This window comes from Homo sapiens, chromosome 14 (genome assembly GCF_000001405.40).
Source record: "Homo sapiens chromosome 14, GRCh38.p14 Primary Assembly".
Classification (NCBI taxonomy): Eukaryota; Metazoa; Chordata; class Mammalia; order Primates; family Hominidae; genus Homo; species Homo sapiens.
This window is the reverse complement of record NC_000014.9, coordinates 36,169,781-36,187,544: the sequence shown is the minus strand read 5'-3', so window position 1 is coordinate 36,187,544 and position 17,764 is coordinate 36,169,781. Positions and strand designations below refer to the sequence as shown.

The 17,764-nt window shown below is 39.5% G+C and overlaps 1 long non-coding RNA gene across 1 annotated transcript in view, besides 2 other annotated features; it reads left to right on the top strand.

The window, feature by feature from the left end:
* Positions 1,895-2,502: an enhancer, noted in NCBI's record as "H3K27ac-H3K4me1 hESC enhancer chr14:36654249-36654856 (GRCh37/hg19 assembly coordinates)". NCBI's record gives its function as "activates a minimal SCP1, AML or CMV promoter by ChIP-STARR-seq in primed H9 embryonic stem cells {active_cell/tissue: H9 hESC(primed)}" and the evidence as "EXISTENCE:reporter gene assay evidence [ECO:0000049][PMID:30033119]".
* Positions 2,503-3,112: an enhancer, noted in NCBI's record as "H3K27ac-H3K4me1 hESC enhancer chr14:36653639-36654248 (GRCh37/hg19 assembly coordinates)". NCBI's record gives its function as "activates a minimal SCP1, AML or CMV promoter by ChIP-STARR-seq in primed H9 embryonic stem cells {active_cell/tissue: H9 hESC(primed)}" and the evidence as "EXISTENCE:reporter gene assay evidence [ECO:0000049][PMID:30033119]".
* PTCSC3 (papillary thyroid carcinoma susceptibility candidate 3) overlaps positions 10,823-17,764 on the top strand; it is a 41,833-nt gene continuing 34,891 nt past the window's right edge. Inside the window, exon 1 of the long non-coding RNA NR_049735.3 lies at positions 10,823-11,247. This is a non-coding gene — a long non-coding RNA (papillary thyroid carcinoma susceptibility candidate 3). The remainder of the gene's footprint in view (positions 11,248-17,764) is intronic.

Sequence of the window (17,764 nt, the reverse complement as noted above, 5' to 3'; positions counted from 1 at the left end):
CCCTCTGCACACTGCTTTGAAAGTGTCCCAGAGATTCTGGTATGTTGTGTCTTTGTTCTCATTGGTTTCAAAGAACATCTTTATTTCTGCCTTCATTTCGTTATGTACCCAGTAGTCATTCAGGAGCAGGTTGTTCAGTTTCCATGTAGTTGATCAGTTTTGAGTGAGTTTCTTAATCCTGAGTTCTATTTTGATTGCACTGTGGTCTGAGAGACAGTTTGTTATAATTTCTAATCTTTTACATTTGCTGAGGAGAGCTTTACTTCCAAGTATGTGGTCAATTTTGGAATAGGTGTGGTGTGGTACTGAAAAAAATGTAAATTCTGTTGATTTGGGGTGGAGAGTTCTGTAGATGTCTATTAGGTCCGCTTGGTGCAGAGCTGAGTTCAATTCCTGGGTATCCTTGTTAACTTTCTGTCTCGTTGATCTGTCTAACGTTGACAGTGGGGTGTTAAAGTCTCCCATTATTATTGTGTGGGAGTCTAAGTCTCTTTGTAGGTCACTCAGGACTTGCTTTATGAATCTGGGTGCTCCTGTATTGGGTGCATATATATTTAGGATAGTTAGCTCTTCTTGTTGAATTGATCCCTTTACCATTATGTAATGGCCTTCTTTGTCTCTTTTGATCTTTGTTGGTTTAAAGTCTGTTTTATCAGAGACTAGGATTGCAACCCCTGCCTTTTTTTGTTTTCCATTTGCTTGGTAGATCTTCCTCCATCCTTTTATTTTGAGCCTATGTGTGTCTCTGCACATGAGATGGGTTTCCTGAATACAGCACACTGATGGGTCTTGACTCTTTATCCAATTTGCCAGTCTGTGTCTTTTAATTGGAGCATTTAGTCCATTTACATTTAAAGTTAATATTGTTATGTGTGAATTTGATCCTGTCATTATGATGTTAGCTGGTTACTTTGCTCGTTAGTTGATGCAGTTTCTTCCTAGCCTTGATGGTCCTTACAATTTGGCATGATTTTGCAGTGGCTGGTACTGGTTGTTCCTTTCCATGTTTAGTGCTTCCTTCAGGAGCTCTTTTAGGGCAGGCCTTGTGGTGACAAAATCTCTCAGCATTTGCTTGTCTGTAAAGTATTTTATTTCTCCTTTGCTTATGAAGCTTAGTTTGGCTGGATATGAAATTCTGGGTTGAAAATTCTTTCCTTTAAGAATGTTGAATATTGGCCCCCACTCTCTTCTGACTTGTAGAGTTTCTGCCGAGAGATCAGCTGTTAGTCTGATGGGCTTCCCTTTGTGGGTAATGCAACCTTTCTCTCTAGCTGCCCTTAACATTTTTTCCTTCATTTCGACTTTGGTGAATCTGACAATTATGTGTCTTGGAGTTGCTCTTCTGGAGGAGTATCTTTGTGGCGTTCTCTGTATTTCCTGAATCTGAATGTTGGCCTGCCTTGCTAGATTGGGGAAATTCTCCTGGATAATATCCTGCATAGTGTTTTCCAACTTGGTTCTATTCTCCCCGTCACTTTCAGGTACACCAGTCAGACGTAGATTTGGTCTTTTCACATAGTCCCATATTTCTTGGAGGCTTTGTTCGTTTCTTTTTATTCTTTTTTCTCTAAACTTCCCTTCTCGCTTCATTTCATCTTCCATCACTGATACCCTTTCTTCCAGTTGATCGCATTGGCTCCTGAGGCTTCTGCATTCTTCACGTAGTTCTTGAGCCTTGGCTTTCAGCTCCATCAGCTCCTTTAAGCACTCTCTGTATTGGTTATTCTAGTTACACATTCTTCTAAATTTTTTTCAAAGTTTTCAACTTCTTTGCCTTTGGTTTGAATTTCCTCCTGTAGCTTGGAGTAGTTTGATCATCTGAAGCCTTGTTCTCTCAACTCGTCAAAGTCATTCTCCGTACAGCTTTGTTCTGTTGCTGGTGAGGAGCTGCGTTCCTTTGGAGGAGGAGAGGCGCTCTGCTTTTTAGAGTTTCCAGATTTTCTGCTCTGTTTTTTCCCCATCCTTGTGGTTTTATCTACTTTTGCTCTTTGATGATGGTGATGTACAGATGGGTTTTTGGTGTGAATGTCCTTTCTGTATGTTAGTTTTCCTTCTAACAGACAGGACCCTCAGCTGCAGTCTGTTTGAGTTTGCTAGAGGTCCACTCCAGACCCTGTTTGCCTGGGTACCAGCAGCAGTGGCTGCAGAACAGCGGATTTTCGTGAACCGCGAATGCTGCTGTCTGATCGTTCCTCTGGAAGTTTTGTCTCAGAGGAGTACCTGGCCGTGTGAGGTGTCAGTCTGCCCCTACTGGGGGGTGCCTCCCAGTTAGGCTGCTCGGGGGTTGGGGGTCAGGGACCCACTTGAGGAGGCAGTCTGCCCATTCTCAGATCTCCAGCTGCATGCTGGGAGAACCACTGCTCTCTTCAAAGCTGTCAGACAGGGACATTTAAGTCTGCAGAGGTTACTGCCATCTTTTTGTTTGTCTGTGCCCTGCCCCCAGAGGTGGAGCCTACAGAGGCAGGCAGGCCTCCTTGAGCTGTGGTGGGCTCCACCCAGTTGGAGCTTCCCGGCTGCTTTGTTTACCTAAGCAAGCCTGGGCAATGGCGGGCTCCCCTCCCCCAGCCTCACTGCCGCCTTGCAGTTTGATCTCAGACTGCTGTGCTAGCGATCAGTGAGAGTCTGTGGGCGTAGGACACTCCGAGCCAGGTGCGGGATATAATCTCCTGGTGCACCGTTTTTTAAGCCCGTCGGAAAAGCACAGTATTGGGGTGGGAGTGACCCGATTTTCCAGGTGCCATCTGTCACCCCTTTCTTTGACTAGGAAAGGGAACTCCCTGACCCCTTGCACTTTCCAAGTGAGGCAATGCCTCACCCTGCTTCGGCTCGCGCACGGTGCGCTGCACCCACTGTCCTGAGCCCACTGTCTGGCACTCCGTAGTGAGATGAACCCGGTACCTCAGATGGAAATGCAGAAATCACCCATCTTCTGCGTCGCTCACGCTGGGAGCTGTAGACCGCAGCTGTTCCTATTCGGCCATGTTGGCACCACGCCTATGTATTTTCAATCTTTTTCCTACCAGTTGCCATTAGGCTATGCAGGCCTATAAAACTACTGGAATTAGATAAAACTATCAAATACATTAACCCATTCATGGAAATAAGATTATGGTAATCAGCTTCTTCATCTCTGACCCATAAAATTGTTTTTGAGAATAATATGCTGATTGTAGATACCTGAAAATTATGGATTTTGTTTTTGGCACAGTTTCCTGAAACATCTTTCTTTTGGAATTTGGTTCAGAAAATCTAGATTCTTTTGCTCTACATGAGACAATATATTCATCCCTGAAGTCTCCAATTTTTGAAGATTAAAATAGTAGCAGTAAAGCTTTTATTAAGCATGAAAAGTACCCATGTACCACCATTGGAAGAAATTGGACCAATTCTAGTTGCCAGGTAAAAGTGAATGCACACCGATATCAAATATGTCAGTTTGCAACCCCCAGAGGGCCAGTTTCTCAGGGCTGGTCTATTGAACCACATTCAGCAGAATCTCCAGGGAGCTAGTTAAGAGGCAGACACCTGTTGCCCTCAACCCCACCAGATCTTCTGAATTCAAAACTGTGTTGGGGTTTAGGTTACCAGCTTTAACAAATAAAAATATAACACAAATACTAATAAACACACAAACACTCTCTAGTTGGGGCCTAGGAGTCTATACTTTAACAAGCACCCCAGGTGTGTTGTAGCACACCAAAATTGGAAAACCACTGGCCTAGAAAATGCGGATTCAAATCACAATGAACCATCACAACACACCTTCCAGAATGGCTAAAATTAAAAAGGACCAACGACACTAAATGCTGGTGAGGACGTAGAATCACTGGAATTCTCATATATCAGGAGTGAGTGTATGAAATGGTATAAGCACTTTGCAAAAAGGGCTGCAAAGTTTTTGTAAAACTAACATACACCTACCCTATGACTCAGCAATTCTACTCCCAAGTAATTACCCAAGAGAAATGAAAACATTTCTTTTCATTCACACAAAGATTTGTACAAGAATGTCTATAGCAGCTTTATTCACGATAGCCCCAAACTGAAAACTCCTGTATTTTCCAATAGCAGAATGAATCAACAAACTGTCATATATTTATTCAATGGGAATACTTGCAATAAAAAGGGATGAATTATTGATATATGCAACAACAGGGATGAATCTCAAAAATATACTGAGAGAAAAAAAGCCTTATTTGAGAGTATATATTATATGATTCCATTTGCATGAAGTTCTAGAACAAGCAGAACTGTTCTGTGGTGGAAAAAAATTAGAACAGTAGTTTCCTCTGGTGGGGAGGAGGTGCGAATTAAGTGGGAAGGGGTATAAGAGAACTTCATTGGGTTTTTGTAATTGTCTGTATCTATTTTTTTGAAACAGGGTCTCTCTCTGTTACCCAGGCTGAAGCGCAGTGGCTCAGTCTCAGCTCACTGCAACCTCCGTCTCCCAGGCTCAAGCAATTCTCCTGCCTCAGCCTCCTGAGTAGCTAGAACCACAGGCACGTGCCACCACCCCTGGCTAATTTTTTGTATTTTTGGTAGAGACGGGGTTTCACCATGTTGCCCAGGCTGGTCTCAAATTCCTAAGTTCAAGAGACTCACTTCGTTCTTTGAAAATTTTACCTTAGACCAGGAGATCGAGACCATCTTGGCTAACACGGTGAAACCCCGTCTCTACTAAAAATACAAAAAATTAGCCGGGCGCGGTGGCGGGTGCCTGTAGTCCCAGCTACTCGGGAGGCTGAGGCAGGAGAATGGCATGAACCTGGGAGGCGGAGCTTGCAGTGAGCCGAGATTGTGCCACTGCAATCCGGCCCGGGCTAAAGAGCAGGACTCCGTCTCAAAAAAAAAAAAAAAGAAAAAAGAAAAAAAGAAAATTTTACCTTAAAAGAAAAAAGTAAATCAATATTCAACTCTATGATGTACATACTGAACTATTTAAGAAAAACACTGATGTCTAAAACCTACTTTTGTTTTTGTTTTTAACTTTTTTATTGTAAAATATAACAGAATTTACTATATTAATCATTTTTAAATGTACAGTTCAGTGGTATTAAGTACATTCATATTGTTGTGCAGCCATCACCACATATCTCTGGAACATTTTCATCTTCTAAACTACAATTTCATGCCTGTTAACAACTCCTTGTTTTCTCCTCCCCATGGCAACCTTCTATTTTCTTTTTTTTCCTAAATCTTTTATTTTAGGTTGAGGAATAATGTGCAGGTTTGTAATAAAGGTAAATTGCATGTCATGGGGGTTTGGTGTATAGATTATTTTGCCACCCAGGTAATAAGCACAGTTACCCGACAGGTAGTTTTTCTGTCTTCACCCTCCTCCCTCCAGCATCAAGCAGGTCCCTGTGTCTGTTGTTCCTTCTGTGTCCATATGTATTCAATGTGAAAACCTACTTTGAAATGCATAAAAAATAAGATGGATGGGGGTTGGAGATTTTTACACACACACACACACACACACACACTAAAATGTTAATGGTAGGACCTAGATGGTGAGTATATGACAGTTTACCACAATTTTTTTTTAACCTTCTGTATATTTGAAGTTTTCAAAATTAAATGCTGGGGTGGGGGTGGGGGAATCACTGACATAGAGGAACAAGAATTTTCTGCCTGGGTACACCAATTTTCAAGAGGCTGCTTCTCTCTCTACCTTTAGGCATCTCTCACCAACACTGCCCAGGAGAAGGAATCATTCTGATCCCCCTCAGTGCCTCAAGGCACCACCTACACAGATCAGGGAAGCTCAGACTTACTCCCTAAGAGAAGACTTCTCCTCATCACCACCCTCTTCTGAACACTAACTTCCAGTCTCCTTTTCCTCATTGACTTGAACTTACAGCACTTCCTTTTGTCTTCTACTGAGGAACTCTTTTTTCTTTTTTTTTTCCACTTGTGTAAGTCATGAGATATGTGTTCCTCAAACACGAGAGCCGTCAGCTTTAGCACAGTGACCAGCTTGCTTTTAACACATATATGAATGGTGCCTGCTCCCGTAGACATGGCAAACAGTGCACACTGCAGCTTGGGCTTCCATGGCGCTTAACTCTTGATCCCCAAGTAGGATCGTAGCCTTGGAGGTGGCTTGGTCATTCTCTCAGACAATCACTCAGAAAATCGTTTTGACTAATCACCTTCGTACTGGCTCTGACTGACCAACCACCCTTTGTACTGGCCACACTGACAAACCCATGGAGGGGATGAGAGTTTAAGTTCCGTTTGAGAATTGTCTTTCCTGGTTTCTCTCTTTAAGATTACAGTTAAGGATAGGTGCGATGCCTCACGCCTGTAATCCCAGCACTTTGGGAGGCCAAGGTGGGTGGATCACTTGAGGTCAGGAGTTTGAGACCAGCCTGGACAATATGGTGAAACCCCGTCTCTACTAAAAATATAAAAATTAGCCTGGTGTGGTGATGCACACCTGTAGTCCCAGCTACTCAGGCAGCTGAGGAAGGACAATCGCTTGAACCCAGGAGGAGAAGGTTGCAGTGAGCCAAGATCACACGACTGCACTCCAGACTCCAGCCTGGGTGACAGAGTAAATGAGACTCTGTCTCAAAAAAAAAAAAAAAAAAAAAAAAAAAAAAAAAAAAAAAAGGTGAGGCTCAATTAGCCGGCAATTGCCAGCAAAGCACAATACAGCCTCACTCTAACAGCCATACCATGGTGACTTATTAAGCAAAGCGGGTTCCTGGATTCTTCCTGAATCAGACCCAGCCAGGTCTGTTTACCTGAGGTCCTAATCTCTCATTGTGGGCTGAAAGATTATTTTAGCAGGTAGGAGCTAGAAAAAGTGTAACTGTACAACAAGGGCTGCTGAAGGTCAAGTTAATGCTTTTATATTTTTGGAGGATATAGCCCTGGTTAAGAGAGGTTAGCACAGAGAAGAGGGTAGTCTTATTTGAAAGCTTTCTCATTTTCTGCTTGCATCTGCAACATTTACACTCTAGCTTTCCAGCTAATTGCAAAAGCATTACGTGCTTGATACAGAATACTGGGAAAACACAGAAAAGCACAAAGCAAAAATATTAATAATAAAATTCACCTATCATTCCACCACTCAAGATAAGCACCAGTCTTTGACATATGTCATTTTGCCTTTGGATTGTTTTGATTACTGCCATGCACTACCCAGTTCTACACATAAGAATGAACTATTTGCTTTTTATTATTTCCTATTCAGAAAGTAGTCAAGGCAATTGAAGTTCCCAAAATGAGTATGTGCACGATTTCTATTGATTATAAAAGTAGTATAAAACTTTGTAAAAGATTCAAATAATTGAAAAATACACTGGCAGAAAAGCACGTCTCCCACAGTCCCACTCTATAGTGACATCATTAACAGATTGACAAATAGCTTTTCAGTTATTTCTGTTTATAAAACTACATGATTTTTATAAAAATGAGATTGTGAGGTATATATGGTTCTATAATTAGCCTGTGAATGGACATTAGATTATTTTAAATTCCCAGCTATTACAAATCTGCAATGACTATCTTTCAACCAAATTAAATTGCAAGTTACAAATATATTATTAGTCAGAATCCTGTTGGTTCTCCAGAGAGTCACAACCAACAGGATATAGACATATGAGAAGGAATTTATTAGAGGAATTGGCTCACACAATTATGGAGACTGTGAAGTCCCACAATAGGCCATTTGCAGGCTAGAGAACCAGGAAGTCTGTTAGCACGGCTCAGTCCAAGTCTGGAGGCCTGAGAACCAGGGAAGCTGATGGTGTAACTCTGGGTCTCAGACCAAAGGCCTGTGAACCTGCGGGGCCACTGGTGCCAGTCCCAGAGTCCAAAGGCTGGAGAATGTAGAGTTCTATTGTCCATGGCCAGGAGAAGAATGCAAAAATATATACTATCTTTGTACATGTGATTTAATTAAAATTTACATATTTAAAAGCAATAAATCTGCAGCTGCTTCTTCATAAAAAAAAATTTGGTGTATGTCTCTTTGCCTATTTTTTACCACCATCCTGCAAGACTATCCTGCTGAAAAGACGTACACCGCTATCCATCCACCATTTTACATTGCTACATGTCCCAGAAGAGTCTTAAGGCAATTAGACTAAGTATATGCTATGAATAGATTTCTTTTTAAATTTTAACAGCTTTAAATGACTTTTTCCTAAACCTGAAAAATATTTATCACATTGTGGAAATATACAGAAAAATAATTCAACTGACAACGTATAGGAAAGTAAAGTCGTAAGTAGAAATTTTTGTTATTTGGTGATATTGTAAGAACTGGGAGAAAGTAAATCCAAAGCAAGACATGTGCATGTGACTTCACTGTATTGAACAACTTATCCTCAGTAGGACAAAAGTTTTTCTTTATTCTGATTCCAAAAACCTTATTACAAACCTTTTATTGTTAAGTACTATTTCATATCTATTTTTAAATGATACAATGTATACAAACACAAATAGATAGTTAATAAGGCAATCTTGAAATTTATTAGGTGATTATATCTAAAAGTAGTCATACATTCTTTATATATTTATAATAATTACATGCCTTGTGTCTGTATCCTTGCAAATTTTTATACTGTCTCCAGGTAATTTATTTTATGGAATATTGCCATATGATATATTTCCCTTTCTCAGTGTCCTCAGGAACCCCTGAAATACAAAAGCACTCTTAACACACAGTTTTTTTAATTGGCAAAATAATGGAACTTAGAATGTTAGAATATTGTAATATTCGAAGAATGTTAGAATATTGTAATATTCGAAGAATGTTAGAATATTGTAATATTCGAAGAATGTTAGAATATTGTAATATTGGAAGTTCCATTTATTACACCGATTAAACAGTGTAGAATAACATTGAAGATGTAGATGTCATGCAGTCAAGTCTAAGTCTGCAAAGCCCATTCCCCTCCCTCCCAGGGCCATCATGGTCCCGAGTGGAATCCTAAGGTGACACCTGGAATGTGCCTGCCTCTGAGAGCAGCCTTTTGGCTCCCCAGGCCTCAGTTGCGTTCCTGGAATATGAGAAGTTGCTTGGAATTGCTTTTCCACAGCCTCTGTTGAACCTGTGTCTCTCTCTGTGGATTATGGCTCTGCTCCTTGGTTACTTCAATTTAGAATAGCTTTCTTTTCTAGGTTTGTTTTTTTTGAAATGGGGTCTTGCTCTGTTGTCCAGGCAATAGTGCAATAGTGCAATCATGACTCAACCTCCCAGGCTCAGGTGATCCTCCCACCTCAGCCTCTGGGGTAGTTGGGACTACAGGCACGCACAACTATCCTGACCAATTTCTTATTTTTGGTAGAGAGAGGGTCTCTTGATGTTACCCAGCCTTGTCTTGAACTCCTGGCTTCAAGAGATCCTCCTGCCTTTGCCTCCTAAAGGACTGGGTTACAGGTATGAGCCACCAGACCTTGCCTTATTTTCCAGGTTTTGAGAAGCTACAAGTGAGATAATTATTGCTGCCTGTCTAACCTATTCTCTTCCACACATTGCGGAGGTCACTGGAAGAAACAGTAAATCACAAACTCTTTTTCTTCTATCCATAACTTTTCCTGCCTCATTTAGAATTACCACTCTTGACAACAGGACCCCCCATTTTTGTCTATCACCTTATTAAATCTTCTGTCAAATTGCTTTATTTAAAACATTTTGCAAACTTAGAGAAACTCTGGTTATAACTAAAAATTGTAAGCTGACAGTCATTTTAACTGGTTGCTCTAAGAGGGTGGCAGAATTCCTCTTAAAGAGCAAACTGCTCTTTTGTTGGGAAAGCATTCAGTGGGCTTTTCTGAGTGTGGGGGTGGACCCCAGGAGAGTCTGGGTAGGAGAGGGTCAGCCTGAAAGAGAGCCAAGTTTCTCTGCACCATCAAGTCACAGGAATTTTGGAGTGGGTTCCACCCACCACTGCAGGGCTGAGGAAGGTCAGACCATGAGAGAGAGACATTGAAAACAAAAAGCTTTCTTAGAGTCCAGGGAGCAGGCCCCAGAAATACCCAGTTGAGAGTGCCACCAGTAAGGACTCCTCGAGGGGGAGACTTCAGAAAACTTTAGCAATAGTGTGACCAGGATTCAATTTTAAGTCAGTCCATGTTTTGTGCTATCATTCCTCTACATTGCTCATATAAAACAAGAAAATACAATAACACACTGCTAATCACAAGAGCATTATCATGAAGAAAAGGGTGGTGAGTCCATATTTTGAAGCAAAGCAAACTAGAATGGGCTGGGGCAGCCTGGAAAGGCAGTGGGCAGATGGAGGGAAGAAATTGAAAAAGTCAGGAGCAAGAGAAAAATGGGAAGAACCAAGTCTCAACTCTAGAATCTGCTGGAAAATTGAAGAACACGTTAGACTTCCCACAATTTAGGGGATGGCTGTTAAAGAAAAGGATGGCCTCAGAAGGACAGAAGAGTTAAGGACTTTGGGGTTTTATGGATAATCCTTATATGAAACATTACATGTTTTTTTCACTGCTTAAACAACAGACTTCAGCAATGATGTATGTCAGAGAAATGGGCACAGAAAGTGAGGAAGGACTGTGTGCCTGCAGTTTGTCCCATTAAATTGTGGCAATGAAGGCAGGAAGCCTCGTGTATATTCACATATAATAGTAATAAGAAAAAGATCAACAGAAAGTGATTATGCAACATTCAACATTTTTGCGGTACCCAAAGACTTCATTGAGTTGATTCATCTTAATATTGTCATTTTGATACAAAATATCTTTGCAGGATATTTGTAGGCACAGCTACCCCAAATCCCATTTGCATTAATCTAAAACAGACTTGCAGGCCCAGTTCCAGAAATTCCTTGGGCAAGTCCATAACGCACATTCACCGTCAGGCATGAAGGAATAGCTTATCCAGCAGAAATATCGGAGGCCAGGCCCCAGTACAAACTCCTTCAGACTTCTCAGTACTCAAGACATCTCAAGTTTTTGAAGAGTAAAGTATAAAATACTGGCAGGGGTGGGTAGGGGGAACAGGATAAATTGGTGATGGCCCAGAAAAAATATCCAGGGGGATCGCATTTTTCTTCTCCAAAGCAAAACAGAATTCATAACTGAAAGAGGAATAGAGAAAGAGGAAAAAAGTGATCTGGGACCTGTTGTTTTTCTTGCATCCCATTTCTACTCTGCCTGTGAGTGAAGACTGTTGTGGAAAAGTCAACTGGAGAGACCAGGTCAAAGGCCAAGCAGAAGAGGAATTAGGCTTAAGACTGCACTGAGAGGGAACACTAGACCATGGTGGTAAGTGTTCTTGTTGCATCTGTTGGTCTTTCATTAAATAATGGCATTTCAGCTGGGTTGTAGCCTCCTTAGCTCTCACTCATTGCATCTTTGATGTTTCACCCAAAGGTATAATTATATTGCATTAGTATACTGTTTTGGCCTCTGAAAACCTTAATATTGCTCTCTGGAGAAAGGACAGTTTAATCACTCACATGACATTATGTACATATGTATGTATTTGTATCGTTTTCTTAACTGAAAGTCCTTCTCCCACCTCCTTGACACTCCCAAACTGCTATTTGCTACCCACATTTGTCTTCTGTTGTTGGTTCTTTTCTTTCTACATGAATTTAATACACTTATGGGAATAAAGCTCTTTCTGAAATTGGGAGAAGCCCTCCCAAGTTGTCATCCCAGTTGCCAACTTGGAAACCTGTTTAATTCTGGAAGAAAACCACAACAATCATGTCTCATTTTGGAAAGTATCTTTCAGAGGACATAATCAAAGCAAATTACAAATACAAATTTCTAACTAGGTTTTCTTAGTGTTCAATGAAGTTACTCCAGTGATCCCAAAGACAAGTTAAATATAGCTGTAGGCCCAAGATCATAGAGTTAATTGGTAGATAAGTCATAACTCTAAGGAGTGGGTTCTTCCTCCTTTCTTTCTGTATCCAGCAAATGACTTAATAATTTATAAAACTACATGCTTCTGTCGGGCATATCGGGCATTTTGCTAGGCATAGCCTATATGATTTTAAGCCACATGAACTTTTGAGTTTTTGCAACTGGCTGGGACCTATTTTATGACATTTCATAGAAAGTGCTGTGGTTCTTATGTTCTTCCCAACGTGGAAATGTGATTTCAGGTAGGGTTGAAATCAAGATACTGACTCCTGAACTTCCATCTCTAACCATAATGGGATGACTGATACTGTACTAGCCCAAAACTACTCTAAAACGGGACAGAATATGTGAAGCATCCGATTTCAGGCAGTGGATAACAAGCACTGTAAGGCTGTGCTCCTTGAGAGAAGGGAAGTGCATGAGGTAAGCTACATGATTGCCTCAGCTCTGTGCCTGGAGACAATTTCCTGACCATGGTACAGAGACCTGGAGTCTGAGCAGAGCATGGCAGTCCTGTTGAGCTGGGGAGGCAGACATCAGCGTTCAGGGTAACTGAAGCAAGTAGAAACTATGGAGCCTGAATGGAGGGAGCTATGTAGAGAGAGAGGACCCCAGAATCCAGCAGGGATCTCCTGCAAATCAGTGACTGAGAGTTGGATTGTACATGTGCAGTGTGAGGCGACCCGAGCTTTACTAGATGTCAGATGCTATGCAGTTGAAAGTGGAACCAAGATTCTAGAGGTTGAGCAGTGCTTGGGGAAAAGCAGTGGCAGAGATGTCAGAGTTCTGGCCCTGCCAGAGAGGAGAGATTTATTAACATCTTGTTAAAACTCCTGACATCCAGCTCTGAGACACCACAAAGTGCACATATTAGGATTAAGGAATATGCCCCTTGAGAAAGACCAACTCTAGACTCACCCCAACAAAGCCTGAAACCAAACCCCGACAAGATTTATACAGGAGACACAGTTTGGAAAGTGACTACTGAAAGGTTAGAAGATCTTGAAAACACCTTGGACTGTCCACAGATCTATACTAGCAATGCAAAACACTAAGTCTACACAAGTTAAAGTAATAAGCCATTAAATGAACTGCCACCTCAAATATGAAACAACCATTTTTAGAGGAAGACTACAGAATCTAGACTATCTACAGTGTGTTGTCCACAGTGTTCACTATTTAATCACTAGACATACAAATAAAAATCACATTAAAAGACTCAAAAATATGATCTTAATGAGTAATCAAATGGAAAACAGCAGATAAATGGAAACTACAAATACAACTATATGAACATTCTAGAACTGAAAAGTATAGTAACTGAAATAAAAATTGAGCCTAACAGCAGATCAGACTTAACATAGAGAGTCAATGAACTTAGATACAAACCAATAGACATGCCTGAATCTGGAGAGTAGAGAGAAGAAAAATAAGCAGAGTTTCAAGGAGATAATATCAAGCAGCCTAGCTTACAGGTAATTGAGTCCTAGTAGAAGAAAATAATTTGAGGCAAAAATAATTGGAAGAAATCATGGCCCCGAACTCCCCACATTTGAAGAGAAACACTGACTTACACATATAAGAATTTCAACGAACCCACACGGGACACATACAAGGAAATCTGCACCTAGGCACGTTAGAGCTAAACTGCTGAAAACCAAGATAAAGAAAAAAAATCTTAAAAGCAGCCAAAGAGAAAAAAAAGGTACTTTATATACAATGGGACAAAAACAAGAATGATCACTTACTTCTCATCAGAAACAATGGAGTCCAGAAGACAATGAAATGACTTTCTTAAAGTACTGAAAGAAAAAACTGTCATCTCAGTTTTATATCCAGCAGAAAGAGCCTCCGTAAACAAGAGTTAAATAAAGACATTTGCTGAAGAATAACAGCTGAGAGAATTCGTTTCCAGCCTGCCTGCACTGCCTGAAAGATGTCTTTCAGGTGAAAGAGAAATTTAAATCTCCAAGATCAAAGGGCACCAGGAATGTTAAATAAGATAGGCAGCATCTTCATCAGAAACATGAACAGTTTTAGACAAACGTCTTCAGGACTGTGCTGAAGATAGATATCATTATAGAACTGAAGTTCCTATAGACTTAATTTCAAGTCACTTCTACCTAAGAGTTAACTGTCTTAATATTTGGCCCTTGTAAGTAGAATGGTGCTGAGAGTTAGCTAAAAGTTTTTTAAATTAAAGCATTCTTTTCCAAGGTTGTCTGGAAATTTGACATTTAATTCAGCATTGAATGTGAACAGCTCAGAGTCTAGTCTCAGAGCTCCGAGCTACTTTTCCTTTGTCCAAAAGAGGGCTATGATTCAGAGTTACAGTGTTGATTGCCTCTACCAGTACTTAGTGAAAGAGTCTGACTCATCTAATATGTGTAGAGTTTTACACTACCCATCTCTGTACATTTTTTAAAATTCTTCTATATACTTTAAATAGTCATGAAATGTTTTAACTCATAAAAAAGAAATGTAGGAACTACTACAGAAATAGATTTCCTGTAATATGTATTCAGATTTGAGTTACTGCCTTTAAATACCTAATTTTGCTATAAATAGATAGCACAAGACTAATTAAAGTTTATCTGCGGAATCTGATAAAAGGGCCTACTATTTCTTTTGTTGCCTTTGTTCTGGTAATTCCAGAATAATTTTTTCTATTCTGGCAGAAAAAGATAGGTGAGAACCTAAGAACTACTTTATTAAGTATATAACCAATACTTAAAAAAAAAACAAAGCAAGTTTTAAGTTTTTATGTTAACAAGAGCCAATTACTTTATGATCACAGAGGTATTTTGCAGCTAAAACAAATCAAAACCAAATGTCATAAATTCAGAGGGCTGGGAGGCTTTTTGAGATGGGAGAATGTAATAATTGACAGAAATCCTAAGTTACTGGGAATCTGTGCTTGGGGAGAGTGAGGAGGAGACTGCATTAGACCAACCAGACAATGGGGCTTGAAAAACTGAGCACTGGAAATGGATGGGATACATGGGTCATAAATCAGGAAATCAAAATGCATAGTTTGAGACACTATAAATGCAGTATTTAAAATGTAGTACTTAAAGTTGGAAGGCTATGGGGAGATCATTTGAAAACAAGGAACATTAGGCAAATGTTCAGAATTGAGGAGGGAGGATAAGAAACCTCTTCAGATATTTCTATAATTTTCTATAAATTTCTAGTGGCTCTGGTAGTTAGAGTTATTTACATATTTTTATGCTCTAGAAATTAAATGATACCATTTTTTATTTTCCTGTTAATTTAAGAAAAGAACTAATCAAAGATCATTAGAAAATTTTTGAGCTAGACACTGATACAAATTTTTAAATTCTAATTACTAAAGATCAAAATTAAAATCCTATATTTTTAGTTGGCAGAGTAGATGAGCACAATAAATAGCTAATACATTTTCATGGGCTTTTACATTAACTAAAAATTCTAAAAACTGTCTAACCTTCTATAGTTTTTAATATATTTACATGTCCAACCCAACCCCTGGAAGCCCACTAAAACACAAATTCAGATTGCAATCCAGCTACAATGCAAGCCAGGCACAAAAGCCTTCTAATGATCTTTGATTAGTTCTTTATTAAATTCATCAAGGAAGCAAAGAAAATTTAATAATCTTCACTAGTTGTCATCTTTCTGATTAGAGGTTTGATTAGAAGTTTCAGCTTTTATTTTTCTCCTTGCCAGCCTTTGCCAGAGCTTTGCTATTGCTTCTAGTTGGAGAGAAAGAACAAGGCAGATGGGAAAGGTTAAATAACCCATGTTTGCAGAACATGCTAAATACACCCCACATTTGCTAATATTCCCTGGGTATGGTCATCTATGTCAAGAGCTTATTGAGGGAGAAGGTCAGTAGATCTCTAAGTATCCCCTCCCACCACCTAGCCAGCCTCCTCATGTGGCAAAACGTTTCTTAAACAGACCTTCTGCTTTTACAAGCTTCTTGTCGAGGAATGCATCTTGCTTGCCTTTGATAGTTATTTTCCCCCGGGGTTGAAACTGATTTTTTCCCTATCTTGTTAAATTTACAAATACTGTACACATTTCACACATGAAAGCAATGGGATTATAGAAGCTACCATCCATAGGTATTTGAGAAATGCCCAATTAGATTGTTCAGAATAAAGGGCTCTGAAAGCTCACTCAGTCTCAAATGAAAGGAGTGAGAAGAACAATAATGATGTTTACATTTTTCTTCCTCATACAGCGTATGGGAGAATAATGACATTCAGATTTCAGTATAGCACATTTCTTCCTAGTATTCACAAATATCGCCTCAATTATTTTTCTGCCACTGCTGAAAAGTAGGAAATGTGTAGCTATTATCTCCATGTCCCATTATATTATATCATGCTATTTTAGTATCTGCTACCTCAAAAGAATGGCAGCTAGATAGTGTGTTTATAATCGCACTCAATCACCATTAGACCTCAGCATTGGAAAGAGATAATAGGAAAGAAGGTAAAAAGAAATAATAAAAATGCAAACATGGGAAATTCTTAACCTACAGAAGGATTATGTTCCAAACGTTCATTTATCAGGCTATTGTTTAGAACTCAAAAATCTATATTTCCACAGAAACAATATTATAATTGGTAGTTAAGTTCCTAGGATAGCCCATCACAGCCAATTTATTTATGTAGTTGAAAATACAAGTACTACAAAAATTACAGTAGCAGAAAGCTATTAAGTTAGAAATATATGGTATTTTAACTACATACAAGGTTAAATCGCTTTTTTCAAACTAACCTAGTAGGCAAATGTATCTACATAGCCTCAAGTCAGTACTTCACACACTGGCAATGCTGATGCTGTGCCAACCGCCCAGGGTCTGGGACACTCAAAACCACAGGATCCTCAGAAGGAACTGTCTAAAAGTCCAACAAATAGGTCACTTGCCCCTTTATTTCCTAGACCACACTAGACATTGGCAACCTGGGAAAGGGCAACTTGGTGTTAAAAAAATTTTTGAGTCCAGGATCCCAGAGGAAGTTCTCCTTCTCACTTCAAGTATGGTACAGGTTGCTGATTCAAATGGCACTTTCCGGTGAATTAATTAAACTCTAGGTTATTTTCAAAATATGCTGGGCACACACAACATGCCAGGCACCACAATGCTGAATAGAATACTAAAAATATTAATTTTGAGCTCTGGCATGCTTACAGTAATATAAAGAACATGTGAAAAAATATGGTATATAGTACAGTAGGAGTAGGGTATATTTAAGGAATGTCAAAACCAATGTTTAGTTTCAACGCCAATGAGCAAATGAAAATCTTAAAGGAACTGGTTGATTCAATTGTTAAACTAATTGGAGTTCTTGTTCAGAATACTGAATTGAGGTTATTCTTTCCTTATTGCTACTGAGAAATCGGTTTGAACTCATTCATTCTCTTTCACAGGAAAGAAGGTAAAAAGAAATAATGCGAACATGGGAAATTCTTAACCTACAGAAGATATTTATTAATATTTATTTATAAATATTTTTAATTATAAAAATACTTTCTATTTGCAAGCAAGAACATAGGTACACATTTCCAAAATGAAACAAACATAGATGATACCCTCTCCCAGCATCAGAAAATGTCTAGCCTTTTGAAAACACAAACGTAAAGCTGAACATCTCAAAGAACACTGCCCATTTCCCAGGGCACACATGGTTATTTCCAGACACAGTTCAACGTTCTAGAGCTTATGGTCCTAGATTTTTTGCATGTCTCTATTACAGCACTTAATACATAGTACCATAAGTATTTATTGTAAATCTAATTCATCCGCTTTCCTTTGAGCTCTTAAAAGGCAAGGATTGTTGTATCTTCTGTCCCTTGCATAGTGCCTGGACCACAGCAGGAGGTCAATATGTGTAAGAAAAGTGGCAATGTTCTT